Here is a 19395-nt window from a genome sequence, read left to right on the forward strand (position 1 = left end):
TGAAGTCAGATTGAGTGGCAGACAGTGATGCCAGCTTATTGGTCTTTTCCTCACACTGGGTACCAGGGCTGCTGCCTTTTCCTTCTGTGGTGGCCCTGAGCGTCTTCAAGAAAGAGGCGATGGCACCCCCCTTTCCAGGCGCTCATTTCACTGGCCCAGCGTAACAGGCCCCTTCTGCGGGGTGGCGTCGCTTTCCAGGTCATTCCTGAAACCCCCGTGGTTTTAGTGGAAGGAGGGCTTGAGGGGGAGCCAGGGGATGGAACAGACTGACTGGGTGACATCACCTGGACATCCTGGCAGGCCTCGCTGAGGACAAAGCACAGCCTGGCAGGAGAGAAAGATCCCAGCAGACGGGGGAGACCAGGGACCGACGCCTGATACTGGCCTCAGGCCCCCATGGGATAGAAAAGTCCTGCGCCCTTTTTGGCTGAATTTCATGGGAAGTCCCTGAACTCGGCCGTGGAGAGGGGATGCAGGACACCCCCATTCCTAGAGGTGGAGGAGCTGACAGGGGCAGTAGGGGTGGGGAGGGCAGTGGCAGCCCCTGACAGCAATGAGGAAACAAAGAGGTCTCCAGTGTCCTTGGCTCCCAGCCCGTGTCTTGAGTGAGATGGCACCAGGGATGACTGGCCACTCAGCCTCTGCCCCAGCCTGCTCCCACTTTATTCCTGGTGACACTTGTCTTCTAGCCACTCATTGCACACCTGCAATCAGCTGTCTTCAGAAAGGAGCCGTTTGTGTGAATGACTACGGGGGCCAACGCCAGCCTCACCCCTGGCCTCCCTGACTCGCCTTTTTCTTTTCTTTCTTTTTTTTTTGAGACTGAGTCTCGCTCTGTCTCCCAGGCTGGAGTGCAGTGGCGCCATCTCGGCTCACTGCAACCCCTGCCTCCCAGGTTCAAGTGATTCTCCTGTCTCAGCCTCCCGAGTAGCTGGGATTACAGGCGCCCGCCACCACGCGCGACTAATTTTTTGTATTTTTAGTAGAGACAGGGTTTCACCACGTTGGCCAGGCTGGTCTCGAACTCCTGACCTCAGGTGATTCGCCCACCTCAGCCTCCCAAAGTGCTGGGATTACAGGCATCAGCCACTGAGCCCGCCTGCTTCACCTTTGAGCTTGGCCCCTCCCTGGGAGGTGGCAGTCATTGGAAGTGGGGCCCTGGGGAGAGGTGTCCAGACTCCAGACAGAGAGCAGCCGGGTGAGGCCCCTGAGCTGTGCAGGGGGAGGTGCCCTGGGCGGAGGGCAGCGAGTCTGAGGTCTGGAACACTCGAGCTTCCTCCCCTCTTCAGAAGCCCTCCAGGAAGGAAATGAGCACTGCAGGGGGCCCTCACACGCCCCGGAGATTAAGGGCTAACTGATTTACTGCAAGAAAAACAAGAGCTGACTTCCTGGCGTGATCTTCTCATGCTGGATCAAATCAGGCCCCGCTCCTCTGATAAGGGCTGCCAGGCGGCAGGCAGGAACACCCTGAGTCCTGAGGCGTCCTCTCACGTGGGATGCTCCTGTCAGATGGCAGCAACCCTGGCCCCAGAAGAAAACAGGAGAAAGGACAGGGACACAGAGTGAGGCATGGCTGTCTTTGTGCTTCACCTCTGGCCTCACCCTTTGGAGAGAAAGGAGCCCTTTATCTAAAAGGTCAAGATGGGGCTGACTGCCTGGGTCAAGACCCTCAGCGTCCGTTTCTGCAACCACAACTCCTGCTGTGTGTGGCTGTAGCGCATTTGAAGGTGCCCGGACCGAAGTGAGATGTGTTATATGTGCAAAATTCACACCAGATTTCAAAGACGTACTATGGAAAAAGAATGTAAAACGACCAGCTGCGGTGGCTCATGCCTGTAATCCCAGCACTTTGGGGGGCCAAGGTGGGCGGATCACGAGGTCAGGAGTTCAAGACCAGCCTGACCAACATGGTGAAACCTCGTCTCTACTAAAAATACAAAAATTAGCTGGGCGTAGTGGCGCGTGCCTGTAATCCCAGCTACTCGGGAGGCTGAGGCAGAAGAATCACTTGAATCTTGGAGGCGGAGATTGCAGTGAGCCGAGATCGCGCCACTGCACTCCAGCATAGGAGACAGAGCGAAACTCGATCTAAAAAAAAAAAAAAAAAAAGAAAAAAAGAATGTAAAGCATCTCATTAATTTTTCTATTGATTACATATTGAAATATTTTGGATATGTTGAATTAAATGAAATGTATTTTTAGTTTTAGTTTTTTTCTTTTTGAGACAGAGTCTTGCTCTGTCGCCCAGGCTGGAGTGCAGTGGCACAATCTCGGCCCACTGCAACCTCCACCTCCCAGGTTCAAGTGATTCTCCTACTTCAGCCTCCCGAGTAGCTGGGACTACAGGCGCGCGCCACCACACCCGGCTAATTTTTGTATTTTTAGTAGAGATGAGGTTTCACCATGTTGGTCAGGCTGATCTCGAACTCCTGACCTCATGATCCGGGGTTACAGGCATATTTTAAATTTTGACCTGTTGCTTTTTACTCTTTAAAATGTGGCTACTGATAAATTTAAAGTGACAAATGAAGCTTGCATTTGGGGCTCATCAGGATTCCTTCAGACAGCTCTGGCCTGGAAGTTAGATAGGATGCCCCAACCTTCAACCCTCCTAAGCCCTGGCTTCTGCCATGTCTCTTTGCTTGCAGTTAAAAAAAACTTTCTTTTGGCGAGGTGGGGTGGCTCATGCCTGTAATCCCAGCACTTTGGGAGGCCAAGGCGGGCAGATCACCTGAGGTCAGGAGTTTGAGACCAGCCTGACCAACATGGAGAAACCCCGTCTCTACTAAAAATACAAAATAACAAAACCAGGCATGGGCGTGGTGGCACATGCCTGTAATCCCAGCTACTTGTGAGGCTGAGGCAGGAGAATTGCTTGAACCCAGGAGGTGGAGGTTGCGGTGAGCCGAGATCGCGCCATTGCACAAGAGCGAAACTCCACCTCAAAAAAAAAAAAAAAAAAAAAAATATATATATATATATATATATATATATATATTTTTTTTTTTTTTTTTTTGGCCGGGCAGTGGCTCACGCTTGTAATCCCAGCACTTTGGGAGGCCGAGGAGGGCGGATCACTTGAAGTCAGGAGTTCGAGACCAGCCTGGCCAACATGGTGAAACCCCATTTCTACTAAAAATACAAAAATTAGCCAGGCGTTGTGGTGGGTGCCTGTAATCCCAGCTACCTGGGAGGCTGAGGCAGTAGAATTGCTTGAACCCAGTAGGTGGAGGTGAGTCAAAATTGCGCCACTACATTCCATCCTGGGTGACGTGGGTGACAGAGTGAGACTTCGTCTCAAAAAAAAACCAAAATCCCGTCTCTACTAAAACTACAAAAACAAAAAAATTAGCCAGGCATCGTGGCGGGTGCCTGTGGTCCCAGCTACTCGGGAGGCTGAGGCAGGAGAATGGCATGAACCCAGGAGGTGGAGGGAGGTTGCAGTGAGCCGAGATTGAGTCACTGCACTCCAGCCTGGATGACAGAAGTGAGACTCCATCTCCAAAAAAAAAAAAAAATGTTTTTTGGCCAGGCATGGTGGCTCATGCTTATAATCCCAGCACTTTGGGAGGCCAAGGTGGGTGGATCACGAGGTCAAGAGTTCGAGACCATCCTGACCAATATGGTGAAACCTCATCTCTACTAAAAACACAAAAATTAGCTGGGCGTGGTGGCGCACACCTGTAATCCCAGCTACTCAGGAGGCTGAGGCAGGAGAATCGCTTGAACCTGGGAGGTGGAAGTTGCAGTGAACCGAGATCGCATCACTGCACTCCAGCCTGGGTGACGGAGCGAGACTCCGGCTCAAAAAAAAAAAAAAACCAAAAAAAAATTTTTTTAAAGGCATGCATGCAAAGATAGCATCTCCCCACCTTGAAGGGCCTGGTGAGTCCTTCCTCTCACCTGGCCCTGGCTTGCTCCTTGGTGGATTGAGAGGTTAGAGATGAAACGATCCCTGGGGCTGCTCAACCCTCTGCCAGCCATGACTTTGCGCGGCAGCTTACTCACTCCTTGCGCCTGGAGCGCCACGCTGATGTGGGCAGCTGGCAGCTCACCTGGCCTGGGACCTGAGCAAGAGGCTTGATCAGACCAAGAACAGTGAGACTCTCGGCTCCAAGACTGCCAGACACAGCTGGGCATATGTGCAGCCCGGCCACAGGGTGGCCACTTGGCATGTGTGCCAGCAGTTAAGCCCTCTGGTGCCCACTCTCTCCTCCAGCTCCGGGCTCCTGTGGGGAGGCATTCTTCTCCCTGCTGAGGCAGATGGTGGTAATTGCCTCCTTTGTCCCGGGAGCCGTAAGCTACCAGGCGCCCATGTGTTCCTGATGAGGCGAGGCTTTGCCGTCTCAGGAAATTGCCCTGTTTGTACAAAAGCTCCGCTGCCAGACCCTTGGACCGAAGTTGAGTAATGACCTCTTCCCTTCACTCCCTTCGCCCACTGAGCAAAGCAGAGGCACCCTCCTCCAGCTGGGCCTAGAGGAGCACAGTCTGGCGGACTGGGGGTTCAAGGGACCAGCCTCCTTCCGTTGTCTACAGGTATAGGATTGGCGGGTAGAGGCTGTGGCCCAGGAATCTGCAGGGCCACCAGGAGGAGGCTCTTTTGGCTGTGAGTCTGCCTGGCAAGTCCGATAAAAAGAACTGAAATGCCAAGGTCAGCCTAGAGAGAAGCAAAAGGTGGTACAGCTTGCCTAACCAGACAAGAGTGGGGAGGAACAGGTGCTAGTGATTCCTTTTGGGACTTTTACGGGGAAGGTTTAGAGGAAGCAACTACCAAAACTCCAAAAAACAGAAAACAACCAAATCTTGTGTGTGTTAAGAGAGCAGGCAGGATTCCTCATACTAAATGGCAAGAAAGAGAACATAGAGGGAACCCCTGGAATCCTCAAAACCAAGGCTGCCTTAGGGTATCTGTCCCTCCCTCTGAACCATCCCCTTTCCCTGGGAGAAAGGGGACCCACAGCACCAGCCCCAGTTCAGCTGTAGGACTGATGCTGGTGCAGCCCACTCCCCAGCCCCTGCAGCCATCTCGTGCATGAGCCATCCCTGCATTCCAGAAGTCTGCAGCCCAGCCAGTCTTACTCAGGAACTGGTAGGCCCAAGGGCTCTGGGCCTCTCTGCCACCTTTAAGATAATAGCTGTCCTTACTAGCTAGGTCCGGGGACCTGCAGCCCTATTTTGGAGAAGTGCGGATGTGACGGAGGCAGCCAGCTAACTGTCCATGCCAAGATAATGACCTGCGTTGCCGCTTGAGAAAATGTCCCACCGGCTGCACCACAGCAGCAGGGGTCTGGTGGCATCTGGCACTGTTCACTGTTCAGAGGGAGAAAAAGGTTTATAAAACAGACAAACATGAAAACGAAGGAACAAGAAGTTCTCATAGCTGCCTGATTTGTCTCTATTGTCAGGAAGCTGGAAAGGGGAGGTTAAACCACCCAGCACAGACAGCAGCTAGTCAGACCCAAACTATTGTCTGAATGGCATTGCATAGACTTAGGAGGACTTCCTGGGAAGGGGAAGACAAGGACGCAGGCTGGCTGAGTGGAAGGCTCTCTCAGCTATGTGTACCCATCGACTCAGGGTACAGCAGCCCACACTGTCTTGGGGTCTGGGCTCAGAACATTTTGGGGGAACCTCCTCACTGTCTCCTCCCAGCAACTTTGAGACGCAGCCGCCCCTGTTGTACAGGAGCTGGAGTGTGCTCAGAGGCAATGGACTAGTCAGTGTGGGGCAGGGATCCAGGAGCTCGGAGGACCCTGGGCACCTGCTCTCTCTGCCTCACACCTCTTCTTAGGCAGCATGGGAGGCACTGCCTGGTGAGGCCTTTGCACAGCCACGTCTGTCTCCATTCCACAGATGAGCCGCAGCTAACGTTACTCAGCTTTCACTGGCCCAGGTACCTGCCCGTCATAGCTGGATTGCTAGGTCAGAAGATCCCTGGGGAAGCACTTTGGGGGGCCGAAGCTGCGGATCACCTGAGGTCAGGAGTTCGAGACCAGCCTATCCAACTTGGTGAAACCTCGTCTCTACTAAAAATACAAAAATTAGCTGAGCATGGTGGCACATGCCTGTAATCCCAGCTACTCAGGAGGCTGAGGCAGGAGAATCACTTGAACCCGGGAGGCAGAGGTTGCAGTAAGCTGAGATCGTGCCATTGCACTCCAGTGTGGGCAACAAGAGTGAAACCTCATCTTGGAATAATAATAATAATAATACTTCTACTGGATGCTTGTAGAGCCCCTCACTCTGTGCCAGATGGTGCTCAGAGCAGAGGGTGGACCCAGAGGCCAGGGCCTATCTACTGTGTGCAACCCGCACAGCCTGCCACCCCAGCTGGCCCTGGGCGGTGCCCCCAGCCACAGCCCCTCCCAGGTCCTCCTCCCAAGTGTCTCTAACATCTAACAGAATAACAGGTTGGATTCTTCCAGTTGGTGTTGTCAGGATGCAGGCAATTTCCAATTTATTCTCTTTGCTTTGGAACATCGATAAATTTTACAGCTAAATCTGCTTTCCATCTCCTCTGTAGCAACAACTGTCTTCAAACAAAAAATTAGAACCAACACATATTTTTGCTATCTTTGGATATTTTCCTAGACCTCTAAATGTCCCAGGCTTTTCAAGGCTGCAGACAGAATTGTGCTGTTTAGAATTCTGTGATCAGTTGGCTTTTTTGTGTGTGACTAACGACACCTCGTATGTGAAAAATTAGCGCTGCCACAGCGATGACAGTGAACAGAGCACAGTCCCACCCTCAAAGCCCCTGGCGTTGGCCTTCCTCTCCTAGAGGGGGTGAAGCCTCTGCCTCAGCTTTTGGGAGGAAAGTCCTGGCTCTGGCCCAGAGCCGCTATGGGTTGAGGATGGCCTGTCATCACAGGCTGTCACCTTGTGCTTGTGGTGACAGGCTCAGGTTGCCACCAGGGGAAGGGGTCGGAACCAAGCCCAGCACCGTTTCATTTCAAAGAGGGAATCCAAGAGTTCTCACTGATTTAATGTAAAACCAGAGAGGAGACAGCAAATCCAAACAACATTCGGGAAGAGAGGAACAGGCCAGGAGACCCAGCAGCAAAGGCCAGTGCCATCCTCAGCCACCTCGTGCTCCTGACCCTCACCCAGCAGGCCTGGTGGGGCTTGCCTGGAACAGAGAATAGAAACTATGATCACATAGGCCAGGCGTGGTGGCTGACGCCTGTAATCCCAGCACCTTGGGAGGCTGAGGCGGGTGGATCACGAGGTCAGGCATTTGAGACCAACCTGGCCAATAGAGTAAAACCCCATCTCTACTAAAAATACAAAAAATTAGCTAGGCGTGGTGGCGCATGTCTGTAATCCCAGCTACTCGGAAGGCTGAGGCAGGAGAATCGCTTGAATGGGAGGCGGAGGTTGCAGTCAGCCAAGATCACACCACTGCTCTCCAGCCCGGGCGACAGTGTCAGACTCCATCTCAAAAAAAGAAAAGCCCAGGTGCGGTGGCTCATGCCTGTAATCCCAGCACTTTGGGAGGCTGAGGCGGGTAGATCATGAGGTCAGGAGTTTGAGACCAACCTGGCCAAAATGGTGAAATCCCCATCTCTACTAAAAATACAAAAATTAGCTGGGCGTGGTGGTGGCCACCTGTAATCCCAGCTACTCGGGAGGCTGAGGCAGGAGAATTGCTTGAACCTGGGAGGTGGAGTGAGCCGAGATTACACCACTGCACTCCAGCCTAGGCGACAGAGCGAGACTCCATCTCAAAAAAAAAAAAAAAAAAAAAAAAAAAGGACAGAAACCACGACCACGACCACATCCACAGCAGACCTAGGGCAGGCTTTAAAAGTATGAGACCGGGCCAGGCGTGGTGACTCATGCCTGTAATCCCAGCACTTTGGGAGGTCGAGGCAGGTGGATCACTTGAGGCCAGGAGTTCGAGACCAGCCTGCCCAACACGGTGAAACTCCGCCTCTACTAAAAATACAAATATTAGCTGGGCATGATGGCACGCACCTGTAGTCCCAGCTACTTGGGAGATTGAGGCAGGAGAATCGCTTGAACCTGGGAGGCGGAGGCTGCAGTGAGCTGAGATCGTGCCACTGCACTCCAGCCTGGGTGACAAGAGTGAGACTGTCTCTAAATAAATAAATAAATAAAAGTATAAGGGGACTGAATGGAGCTCTCTTCGTCCTCTCTTGATGTTGGAGACAGAAGCCTCCTCCAGGGTCAGAGCTTGCTGACAGCACCAGAGTCCATCCTGGAGGAGGGACTGGAGCCAGCACAACACGGGAACACCCACTTGGAACAGACCCATTCGCGGCCCCCGGGGCCTCATCTGCATGTCCTGCCCCGTGGGAAGGCAGGACTGTGTGGCCTCCGAAGTGTCTTTTTGTGAAAACCCCCAGCGAACAGCCTGCAGGGCCCAGGGGCAGTGAGGGCCTGACTTGAAACCTGCTCCCATCAGAGGCAGAGCCACTTCCCAGGGCCTGAGGACAGGAGGGGGTCCTGCATCTGGCGCTCTGTCCCCCACGACACAGCCTGCTTAATGTCCAGGAATCCCATGTGAAGGGATGTGCAAGCTCGCCGGAGACCTTGGCCCTGCCAGATCTGTCTTCTTATGTAAACACCTGCTTTTAATACTAAACAGCATCACTGGCCGTTAACAGCCAATGCTGCTCAGAGCGCCTGGCAGGAGCACCGGGAGGAATGGAATTTGTAGTGTGGCCGCGAGACAAAGCATTAGGCAACCTGAGAAGGAAAAGGTGCAGTTGGGATTCGCCTCCATCTCTAGTTTATAGGTCCTGGGTCCCCACTGAGGCCAGCACTCTAGAGTGGGAGGGGCTGGGAGGGCTGTGGGAAGGACAAAGGGACATCTTCCAGGAGGATGAGCGGTTCCCCATGCCCGTCCCCCTCACGATGCTGCAGGCAACGGCCTGAGACTGCAGCACAGCAGGGCCTGCAATTGGGTTCTTGGAGCTGGAGGACAGCGTGGCTGTCAGCACAGAGACGAGACAAGGGAGGTGCAGAATCTTGGCCCATGGCCCTGGGAGGAGGATGAGGACATGGATGAAGACCCCCTAACCCCCAAATCGTGGTTCCTCAGCCCGCAGGGACGCTGACCTGATCAAAACCCAGGACCTCAACCTGAGACCAGTCATCTGTGCTATATATATTTTTCTTTTAAAAAAGTTTTTTTGGTAGAGACAAGGTCTCACCATGTTGCCCAGGCTGGTCTCGAACTTCTGGCCTCAAGTGATCTGCCTGCCTTGGCCTCTCAAAGTGCTGGGATTACAGGCGTAAGCCACTGTGTCCAGCCTATCTGTGCTATATTTTCAGAAGGGGTGAGGATAGTCCTAAATTTATATGGCATAGATGATGAAACTTTCAATTAAAAAAAAAAACCCCAGCTTCCTGAGGCTCTCCAACCCAAAACAAACCCCGGGGGATCAGGGCCTCTCTGCGAGCATCTCAAGGTTCTAAGCCACAACACAATTCTAACAAGAAGCCTGATTTGTGTCTCACCATCCTTTCTAGCTCTTATAGCCTTCCCTCCCTGCAACTTACTGGGAAAACAAAAGGCACAGCCAAGCCCACAGTGGCATTCTAAAACCACCTTTACAAAAATTCTAACGGTGAGATTATTAGAGTGAAAAAGGTCTAGCCTAACCCACTCCATCTTGCTTCTAACCTCCAAGCTGTCCTTGTTCATTCCTGGGAATAAGCCGAACTCACTTTGGGAGAAGCTTACAGTTTACTGTTTAACTTTGAAACAAAGATGGTAACAGCACTTTCCGGAAATAAACCCCCTTCTTGCCTGGGGCCCAGACTGCCTTTGTAGGACTAACGAATTAGCCACAAAAATTGAAATTATGGTTTAGGAGTCATGCAGCCAGAGGCCCAAGATTCTGAACCTTCCCAGTTGCTCCTAGGGATGACATCACTGTTGTAAAACCTAAGAATGGTGCTCGAGATATTTTTCAGACCCTGCACTTTATGGATCAGCTGGCACCATCCATCCAAACTGGCTCATCTGGTCTTGTAGCCCCCACCCAGGAAACCGACTCAGCACAAGAGGCCAGCTTCAACTCCCTATGACTTCATCTCCAACTCCCTGACTTCATCTCCAACTCCCTATGACTTCATCTCCAACCTGACCAATCAGCACTCCCCATTTCCTGACCCCCTACCCACCAAATTATCCTTAAAATTCCCAGTCTCTGAATTTTCAGGGAGACCAATGTGAGTAATAAACTCCAGTCTCCTGTTTAGACGGCTGTGTGTGAACTAAACTCTCTATTGCAATTCCTGTTTCCATGAATCAACTCCATCTGGGCAGCGGGCAAGAACCCTCGGGGGGTTACAATGCCATCCTGAAACAATGCTCTTGGATTTTTAACCAGTCAGCCTTTTCTTCAAGCCACTGGGTTTGCTCAAAAACGGAAAACATCTAAGCCAACATTTCTTGTGACGAATTTTCTTTCCTATGTGACAGATGAGTTTTGATTTCCAAAGGGAATCGTTAAGTGTCAGGTACATGTTTAAATCACTTTTATTCCTTGCTTTCTTACATTGTTTTTGTGACTTCTATTATTGATGTTATAATAGAAGTGAAAAGGGATGACTAAGGAAAAACGGGGGGTAACGAAGGGGATTAAAATATAATGGCATCTAAAAATTACACATTGGGAAGTCCTGAAAAATAGTGCCTCTAACATGTGTATCTGGCATCAGCCTCACCTAGTTGCCGGTAAGTCAGGTTACACTTGACCTCACCGGCTTCACGCAACTAGGCTCCCGAGGAGAGAACGGGGACTGGACATGAGGGAGGGCATATAAGAAATGGGCACAGTCTCCGTCATCTTTGCCTTTTAATATAAGATTTGGTTTCATCATTTCTGAGTGTAACATATTTCTTCTAAAAATAGAGCTCTCTGCTTGTCTGAAACTTCTTAGCGTTCACTGGGAGGTGAAGGGGAATAAGGCTGACCGTAATTCTGGGGTGACGTTGCCAGTTTCATAGTCATAGATAAACTTCTCAAGGGCTCCTGGATGCTCACAGCAAGGATGAGTTCATTTCAAATCCATGGTACTGAAGAAGCATGACAAAGCGTTTCAAGGCCCCATCTGTGCCTGGTGTGGACTCCTGAACGCATTACTGACCAAAGGCAATCAATCACAGCTCACAGGGCACCAGACAGCAGCGGCCCCTTTCCCAGGAGGTACAGGAGACAGGATGACCCTGCACACATTTACCAGAAGACAACAGGGTGCTCTCCTGACACGCTGCTTAAGAACGTGTACAGACACAAGATGTAGGAATGCAGGGCCGAAGATGTTAAACTCTTGCCCCGGGCCAATGCAGACCTGGATTTAATATCATGGAACTTGCTGGGATTTTCTCACAATACAGATTAAGAGTCAGAATCTCCCCCGCCCCCGAGGAAGAGCCTGGTTAGCTCCTGAATCCAAAGATGCCCTTGATGTATCCAGTGAGGCCACTCTTGGTCTTCTGTTCCAACTTGTCCTCAAGGGGTGGGAAAGCCACATGGTTGAGGGCCAGGTCAAAGAACAAAGGCTTGCAGGGAATGGGCTGGAAGCCTGGTGGGAAGTGCACAAGGTTGGCTTGCTTGGTGACAAGGGAAGGGTCCAGGCAGAATGTCTCAAACCGTTCAACCAGAGGCTGGAAGTCAAATCAAAGAGACGTATGTAGCATCGGTCACAGAACACCCTTGGTGAACATTCCTGAGTGCCGACTGCCTGGTTCAGAGCTTTACAGGGGCCATCTCACTCAATCACTCAATCCCGACAGCCTCCTACGAGGAGGGGCTACCACATCCCTGCCTTGTAGTCAAAGTCACTGAAACCCAGAGAGGCTAAGAGAGTGGCAGGCTAGGACTGGGGTGCAGGCCTGTTGGCCATGTTACGAGTTAGAGCTCTTACCCACGGGTGCTACTCTTTACAGCAACAGGTTCCTCAACCCTCTTCCCAGGGATGATCTGACATCTAGGAAGCTTTATGCAAGAAGCTTTGAGGTTGGGTAAGAGAAGGGAGGGAGGTGGGGGGTTTCCTTAGAAATTTAGGGTCCACTGCTCTATAATGAGCATGCATTCCTAGTTTGTTACTAATCCTGCTTCGTATTCCTCAAAAACCATGGCCCAGACTTACCTTATTGTCCTTGACTTGGGAGGAGGAGGTCTCTGTTTGATGAGCGTCGTTTGCATCTGAAAGTTTCACAGGGATTCAGTAAGAACAAGGATTTATAATAGCACACTAATCACAAATGAGGCCTATCACACAGGTGGCCCCTACATCCCAAAAGCAAAAGGAGCCAGCATGTGGGGAAGCCAGGCCTGTCTCCTGCTGAGAAGTGGTGGAGATAAACAGATCAATCCCAGATCCAATGCCGTCGGCCCAGTGAAGCCAGCACAGTTGCATGAGGACAGTAACAGGGAGAAGGGCCAGTGTAACAGTGCACTCGAAATGCTTCTACACAATCTGATGCCCAGCTGGCACAAGTAAAGGCCAGGAACATCTTACAGATGAACCAAGACAACCCTTTCAACCTTAAAACAGTAGTATGGGGTGTGACAGAGAAGGGGAGTGGCAGGAAGGGAAGTCTGGGGATACAAAGGCCAGGCAGGGGGCTCACCAAGGATGGCTGCGGCCTGCAGGGAGCACTTCTCTGACCGCACTTGAGTGATGAGCTCTTGCACATCAGGCAGGTCCTGTAAGATTCAGAAAACGTGTACTCCCGAGCCAGGGCCAGGTCAGAGAAGCACACCAAGCTAACCCGAGTTAACCGACCCCACTGGTATTTTCACAGGACTTTAGACTTTCTAAACGGTTCTCACTATTAGAACAAAACAAAACAAAGCAAAACACTAGCCTGTTTCAAATGGGAAAAGCTATGCCACGGCTTAAGTAATAATGCCTGGAAATAAAGATGATGTTAATATTAATAAATTTATCATACACTAAACAGTGTGCCAGGCATTGTTCTAAGCAGGTTACATAATCACTAGCTTAACCTTCTCAATAATCCTGAGGCAGTTTGCACTCCCATTTTACAGATGAGAAAATGGAAGCATGGAGAGGTTAAGCAATGTGCCAGCCATGCGCCCAAGTGGCAGCGGGCTGGGGTAAAGGGCTGGGCCATCTGGCTCAAGGGCATAAGCCCTTAGTCGTTACATCCCACTGCTTCAACGAGGGTGATGAATTTTCCTGGCCTCGGTCTCTTGCTTGGCATATTGGGAATGACCTGAGAAGGTCTGGATGCCACAGAATCCTTCATGCCTCCATTCTGACACTTCCCCCACAAAACAATTCAGCACATGAAATCAGGTCCACACTGGTTTGCCCCGCGTCCCAAGATGATATTCCATGGTGGTGACGCTGCCATGCCTGTCACTCCCACCTGCCCACATCCCTGTGCTGTTTTCTAGCTCTGCCTTTGCTTGGGGTCTCTTTTATTTCTTCTGCATCCATAGGTGGGCTCCTGCATGCCAGTCTGTGGCTACAACAAAACTACAAGCTCTCTGAAGGCAGAGAGCTTCTTCTCTACCCCTCTGAGCTTGCACGGGATCCAGCAGCTCCTACACTGGCTGGCGTGACTCCATCAACGACAGGAACCTTTGCTTGCTTTTTTTTTTCTTTTTTTGAGACGGAGTCTCACTCTGTTGCCGCCCAGGGGCGTGATCTTGGCTCACTGCAAGCTCCGCCTCCCGCGTTCACGCCATTCTCCTGCCTCAGCCTCCCGAGTAGCTGGGACCACAGGCGCCTGCCACCATGCCCGGCTAATTTTTTTGTATTTTTAGTAGAGGTGGGGTTTCACTATGTTGGCCAGGATGGTCTCGATCTCCTGACCTCGTGATCTGCCCGCCTCGGCCTCCCACAGTGCTGGGATTACAGGCGTGAGCCACGGTGCCCGGCCCCTGCTTGCTTTTCTAAATGGTCTCTACTTGTCAAATATACATGGATTCCTTAGACCAGCTGATGTTGCAACAAGTTCTATACCATCACAGCACGCCACAAGCTTAAGAAGCTAGTTATCGTTCAATAATCAGTAAAGCACCGGGAGTAGTGGCTCACGCCTGTAATCCTAGCACTTTGGGAGGCTGAGGTCAGCGGATCAAGAGGCTTGATCACTTGAAGTCAGGAGTTTGAAACCAGCCTGGCCAACATGGTGAAACCCTCTACTAAAAATACAAAAATTAGCTGGGCTTGGTGGCACAAGCCGAGATCGTGCCACTGCACTCTAGCCTAGGAGACAGAGACTCCATCTTAAAAAAAAAAAAAAAAAAAAGTAAAGCAAAGAAAGCCTTCCATGGCTGCACTTTATTTATTTATTTTGAGATGGAGTCTTGCTCTGTCACTCAGGCTGGAGTGCAGTGGCTTGATCTTGGCTCACTGCAACCTCTGCCTCCCAGATTCAAGTGATTCTCCTGCCTCAGCTTCTCAAGTAGCTGGGATTACAGGTGTGCACCACCACACCTGGCTATTTTTTTCTATTTTTGTAGAGACAGAGTTTCGCCATGTTGCCCAGGCTGGTCTCGAACTCCTTACCTCAAGTGATCTGCCCACCTCAGCTTCCCAAACTGCTGGGATTACAGGCATGAGCCACTGCATCCAGCCCTGTGGCTGTACTTTAGATCAAGCATTTCCTTAGCTTTAACAGACCCCCAAATGGCCTGGGGATCTTGTTAAAATGCAGATATTGGCCAGCATGGTGGCTCATGCCTCCAATCTCAAGGTTTTGGGAGGCAGAGGCAGGAGGACTGCTTGAGGCCAGGAGTTCGAGGCCATGAGTTCAAGGCCAGCCTGGGCAACATAGTGAGACCCCCATCTCTACAAAAAAATAAAAATTGGCCTGGTATGGTGGCTCATGCCTGTAGTCCCAGCTACTCAGGAGGCTGAGGTGGGAGGGTCACTTGAGCCCAGGAGTTCGAGGCTGCAGTGAACTATGATGGTGCTACTTGCATTCCAGCCTGGGTGACAGAGCGAGACCCTGTCTCAAGAAAGACAGAAAGAAAGAAAACAAGCAGAAGGTTCCGGGTGGGAGCTGAGAGGCTGCATTCCTAGTGAGGCCCCGCCGCTGCTGCTGGTCTTGCGCATGCCCTGCAGGACAGCTTCACCAGTGCTTCTCACTTGGTTGCATGTCAGAATCACTAAGGGGCCTTTCTAAGTCCCAATGCCCACTTCAGATCCCTCACACTGATTAGAACCACAATCTCTGGGGGTGCGACCCAGACATCTACCTTGAAAAAAATCTTCCTAAGAGATTTCAACGTGCAGTCAAGTCTGAGAGCAGTACTTCAGGTTTTCCTGTGGTGGTTTTTGTTTCTTTTAAATCAGAAAAATGCCTTCCCTTCTTCATACCTAAATCCTCCTCAGGCCTGGAGCACAGCCATGAGTGACACAGCCTGCAGCTCCTGGGCAGTCAGGGCTACACCAGGTCCCACGGGCAGCCAGGGAGGACCAGCCTGAGGTGGCGCCCAGCTGTTGTACCCTCACAGCTCCTCCACAGCTGACTCCATAACCTGCCAGGGCTTGCAAACAAGGAGAGGCCAACCTCTCACCTTTAGGCTGTTCTTGAAGGCGCCAGCATCAGAATTTACTTCATTTGCATATTTCAGGACTCTGTCATACAGGACAAGGGCTTCGCTCCACTTCTTCACCAGCACATAGGACTGAGCAATGAAAAAACACCTGATGGGGAGGGAAAAGAGCCACAATATTCTAAAGCAGCAATTACCCAAGACCAAGGCTTTCCTTGCAGTTTAGGCGAAATTTCACATTTGGAAACAGGTTTCTTAACGTGGGATCACCGCATGGGAGCCCCCTTCATGGGAAGTGTTCAGATTTGTAGGCTACCCTGCAGAGATGCTTCCCAGCAATCAGAGATGCCCAGGTAGGCCCAACACTGAGCCACGGTTTTTTACTGACTGGCTGACTCTGCAGAGGAGGAACAGTTCCCAAAAGGAGCATGGTGAGGCTGGGGACAGGAAGGAAGGAAGAACGCTGCCCGGCTCAAATAGAAATCCCAAACCCATCCACACACCCAAGTCGCAATCATTCATCTCTGCTCATCGCTTTCCAAAAACAAAACTCACAGAAGGTTCTTCCTGAGTCAAATTCCTCTCCTGGGCTCAGCAGAGCCTGAGCGCTGCTGGTCCCTGACAGGACAGAAGGGGCCATGGAGTGAAGACGGGGCATGCTGGAGCACCAGAGCACACTGGCATGTGAGGGCCACAAGAGGAAGGGCAAGAATGCATGGGGCTCTGCCTTCCATCCTGGCTGGGCCCCATCGTGCTACCCAGCCCACTTCCAAGTTACAAATGACACAAGTCATTTAAGAAACTGAGTTTAGCTTTATCCCAAGTCAGTTCAAGTTCCTTGAACTGGCCACACTGGTTCTGCTAATTAACACCCTTTCAAGGCGTGCCCCTTTTCCCCTGGAAGGGAGGAGGAAAGTACAGGAAGACAAGTGTTTTTGTTTTTTTTGAGATGGAGTTTCGCTCTTGTCTCCCAGGCTGGAGTGCAATGGTGCGATCTTGGCTCACCGCCAAGTTGCGGTGAGCCTCCCGGGTTCAAGCGATTCTCCTGCCTCAGGCTCCCAAGGAGCTGGGTTTACAGGCATGCACCACCATGCCTGGCTAATTTTGTATTTTTAATAGAGACGGAGTTTCTCCATGTTGGTCAGGCTGGTCTCGAACTCCCGACCTCAGGTGATCCACCTGCCTCAGCCTCCCAAAGTTCTGGGATGACAAGTGTGAGCCACCGCGCCCAGCGAGGAAGCCAAGTTTAACGTGTGTGCTCCACTCCTCCGACCTGGCCAAAAGGCAGACATCATCACTGGCCACTACTGACCACAGCCTTTAGAAACTCCCCTTGAACATGCTGGGCTGACCTTCCTCTGATCACAGGCAAGGTAACCATACACTCAAGGCCAACGGTCCCATCTGCTGTGGGCTGGGTCATGCTCCCAATGCTTATAGAACCTGGGAGGCGGAGGAAAACTGCCCATCCCATGGGACGTTACCTGTAAGCTTTGAACACCAGAGTCTTGAGGCCTATCTCTTTCTGGAAGGCTTTGTCTTCCTCTAAACCAGGAAGCTGGAGCAATTCCACCAGATTCTGTACAACAGATGCAACAAGAAAATTCATGAAGAGTAGATCTTAGGTTGAATTTTTGACAGAAGACCTTGTAAGAACGGACAAGAGTGAGGAAAAAAAAAAGCCCGAGGTCAATACGATGGGGAAAAGCCTGTGAAGAGATTGGGCAGCAGCCACACCTGCTGTCACCTCCACTCCCCTCTGATCTTGGAAACATATTTGCCCTTTACAACTCAACTCAGCTCACCCACCTTCAGAGACTTCTTGGCCCATCTTAGCTGGAAGGGATCTGTTCCAGCGCTGAGCTTTTATTTTGCTTAGCATCTACTCAGATGCCTTGACTGTGTGTGTCTCACAGTCCTACTGACTGACAAACTCCCTGGGGGCCGAGATGGCATGGACTCAGGTCTCAGATGCTCTATGGCACCTGGGAGCGTCTTACACAGGTCAAGTGCTCAGTGATGATCTGGGGTCACTATTCTCTGCAGATCAGCATGTCTGAGAGGTAGGGGCTCACAGACTGCAGAACTGGTGTAAGATCTTTGTCTCTTCCCAGCTACTAATAGGTCCTGCTTGTCACAGCCCTTCCGTGATACAAAGTTAAGTCACTTTGTGTCCGACACAGGCAAAGGAAAACCACAGGCCCTTGCCTTCCCGGTCCTCAAGGGTCACCTGTAAGATGATGTCATAGAGTCGGATCAGGTCCTGGGGCCGGGGTGAGCGCTTGCTGTCATCCTCTGGCTGCTGCTGCAGCAGAGCCCTCTGCAGACCTTTGGCCATGTTCTCATTACGCTTGATTGCCGTTGATAGCTTGATGTAAGTCAGGTAGCTGGAATGCACCACAAGTCAGCTCAAGTTATACTCAGAGAAGCGGAGGAACTGGGAGGACTGGACTACAAGTTGGGGCTGACCCAGAGGAAGCAGGGGGCGGGTGGGGGCGTGGCCACAGCAGGGCCATTTGGCTTGGGCTTCAAGGGACCCTCCATTTGGCTACTATCCAGTGGCAAGTTTGCAGGGGACCCGCATGAGATCTTATCACAAAATTTGATTTTTAGCTTGATTTATACCTTCTGCATCCTTTTTCAAGAACCACACAGTGGAAAAAAAAAAAAAAAAAAACAAAAAACAGAGAGTGGGATCCCAGCAACTCACGAGGCAGGAGATCACCTGAGCCTGGGTATTCAAGGCAGCAGTGAGCTACGATCACACCACTGCACTCCAGCCCGAGTAATAGAGCAAAACCTTGACTCTAAAAATTGAAAACAACAACAACAACAAAACAAAAAAAACGGGGGGCCAGGGGCAGTGGCTCCCATCTGTAATCCCAGCACTGTAGGAGGCCGAGGCGGGCGGATCATGAGGTCAGGAGATTGAGACCATCCTGGCTAACACAGTGAAACCCCGTCTCTATTAAAAATACAAAAAATTAGCTGGGCATGGTGGTGGGCACCTGTAGTCCCAGCTACTTGGGAGGCTGAGGTAGGAAAATGGTGTGAACCTGGGAGGCGGAGCTTGCAGTGAGCCAAGATTGCGCCACTGCACTCCAGCCTGGGCGACAGAGCGAGACTCCATCTCTCTAAATAAATAAATAAACAGGCCAGGCATGGTGGCTCATGCCTCTGGTCCCAGCTACTCAGGAGGCTGAGGTGGGAGGATCACCTGAGCCCGGGAGGCAAAGGTTGCAGTTAGCTCTAGGAGTGGAAGGAAATGAGGCAAGGGCCGCAGGGAGCTTCAAACACTGGTTGTGTTCTCGTTTTTGTTTTGAGAATCTTGAGTCAGGGCTGTCTCAGGCTGGAATGCAGTGACATGACCATGATCATGGCTGACCGCAGCCTTGACCTCCCTGGGCTCAGGGGATCCTCCCACCTGAGCCTCTGGAGTATCTGAGACCACAGGTGTGCACCATCACACCCAGCTAATTCAAACTCTTGGGCTCAAGCAATCCATTTGCCTCAGCCTCCCAAAGTATTGGGATTACAGGCGTGAGCCACCATGCCTGGCTGTGTTCTAGTTAAGCTATATAAAAATCTTAAATTAGGCATATTAAAATAAAATGTAAATGTAGCATATATACTTATTTGATAAAATGGACATACATGCATTAGCATTTGTATGCATTAAGAAATTATAAATGTAAGCCAGGTGCAGTGGTTCACGCCTATAATCCCCGCACTGTGGGAGGCTGAGATGGGCAGATTGCTTGAGTCCAGGAGTTTGAGACCAGCCCAGGTAACATGGCAAAATCCCATCTCTACAAAACAAATACAAAAATTAGCTGGATGTAGTGGTGCATGCCTGTAGTCCCAGCTACTCAGTGGG

At 51.2% G+C, this 19395-nt stretch overlaps 1 protein-coding gene across 4 annotated transcripts in view, besides 4 other annotated features; it reads right to left on the minus strand.

Annotated features, from left to right (window-relative positions):
• Nucleotides 5706-6313: an enhancer, noted in NCBI's record as "H3K27ac-H3K4me1 hESC enhancer chr17:74030076-74030683 (GRCh37/hg19 assembly coordinates)". NCBI's record gives its function as "activates a minimal SCP1, AML or CMV promoter by ChIP-STARR-seq in primed H9 embryonic stem cells {active_cell/tissue: H9 hESC(primed)}" and the evidence as "EXISTENCE:reporter gene assay evidence [ECO:0000049][PMID:30033119]".
• Nucleotides 8419-8713: a silencer, noted in NCBI's record as "tiled region #345; K562 Repressive non-DNase unmatched - State 18:Pol2". NCBI's record gives its function as "represses a minimal TATA promoter and a strong SV40 promoter by Sharpr-MPRA in K562 cells {active_cell/tissue: K562}" and the evidence as "EXISTENCE:reporter gene assay evidence [ECO:0000049][PMID:27701403]".
• The window catches only part of SRP68 (signal recognition particle 68), a 33733-nt gene continuing 24833 nt past the window's right edge, over nt 10496-19395 (minus strand). For all 4 annotated transcript variants that reach the window (NR_048541.2, NM_001260502.2, NM_014230.4 and 1 more), the window contains 6 exons: nt 17749-17905; nt 17003-17097; nt 15540-15669; nt 12614-12689; nt 12130-12185; nt 10496-11644 (listed from right to left, as the gene is read on the minus strand). Coding sequence is in view for 3 of the 4 variants with exons in the window: in NM_001260502.2 (NP_001247431.1) it covers nt 11417-11644; nt 12130-12185; nt 12614-12689; nt 15540-15669; nt 17003-17097; nt 17749-17905 (742 nt within the window). In the remaining variant the exon portion in view is untranslated. The remainder of the gene's footprint in view (nt 11645-12129; nt 12186-12613; nt 12690-15539; nt 15670-17002; nt 17098-17748; nt 17906-19395) is intronic.
• Nucleotides 11869-12570: an enhancer, noted in NCBI's record as "H3K27ac-H3K4me1 hESC enhancer chr17:74036239-74036940 (GRCh37/hg19 assembly coordinates)". NCBI's record gives its function as "activates a minimal SCP1, AML or CMV promoter by ChIP-STARR-seq in naive H9 embryonic stem cells {active_cell/tissue: H9 hESC(naive)}" and the evidence as "EXISTENCE:reporter gene assay evidence [ECO:0000049][PMID:30033119]".
• Nucleotides 12571-13272: an enhancer, noted in NCBI's record as "H3K27ac-H3K4me1 hESC enhancer chr17:74036941-74037642 (GRCh37/hg19 assembly coordinates)". NCBI's record gives its function as "activates a minimal SCP1, AML or CMV promoter by ChIP-STARR-seq in naive H9 embryonic stem cells {active_cell/tissue: H9 hESC(naive)}" and the evidence as "EXISTENCE:reporter gene assay evidence [ECO:0000049][PMID:30033119]".

The sequence above is a fragment of the Homo sapiens genome, chromosome 17 (assembly GCF_000001405.40).
Source record: "Homo sapiens chromosome 17, GRCh38.p14 Primary Assembly".
NCBI classification, from domain to species: domain Eukaryota; kingdom Metazoa; phylum Chordata; class Mammalia; order Primates; family Hominidae; genus Homo; species Homo sapiens.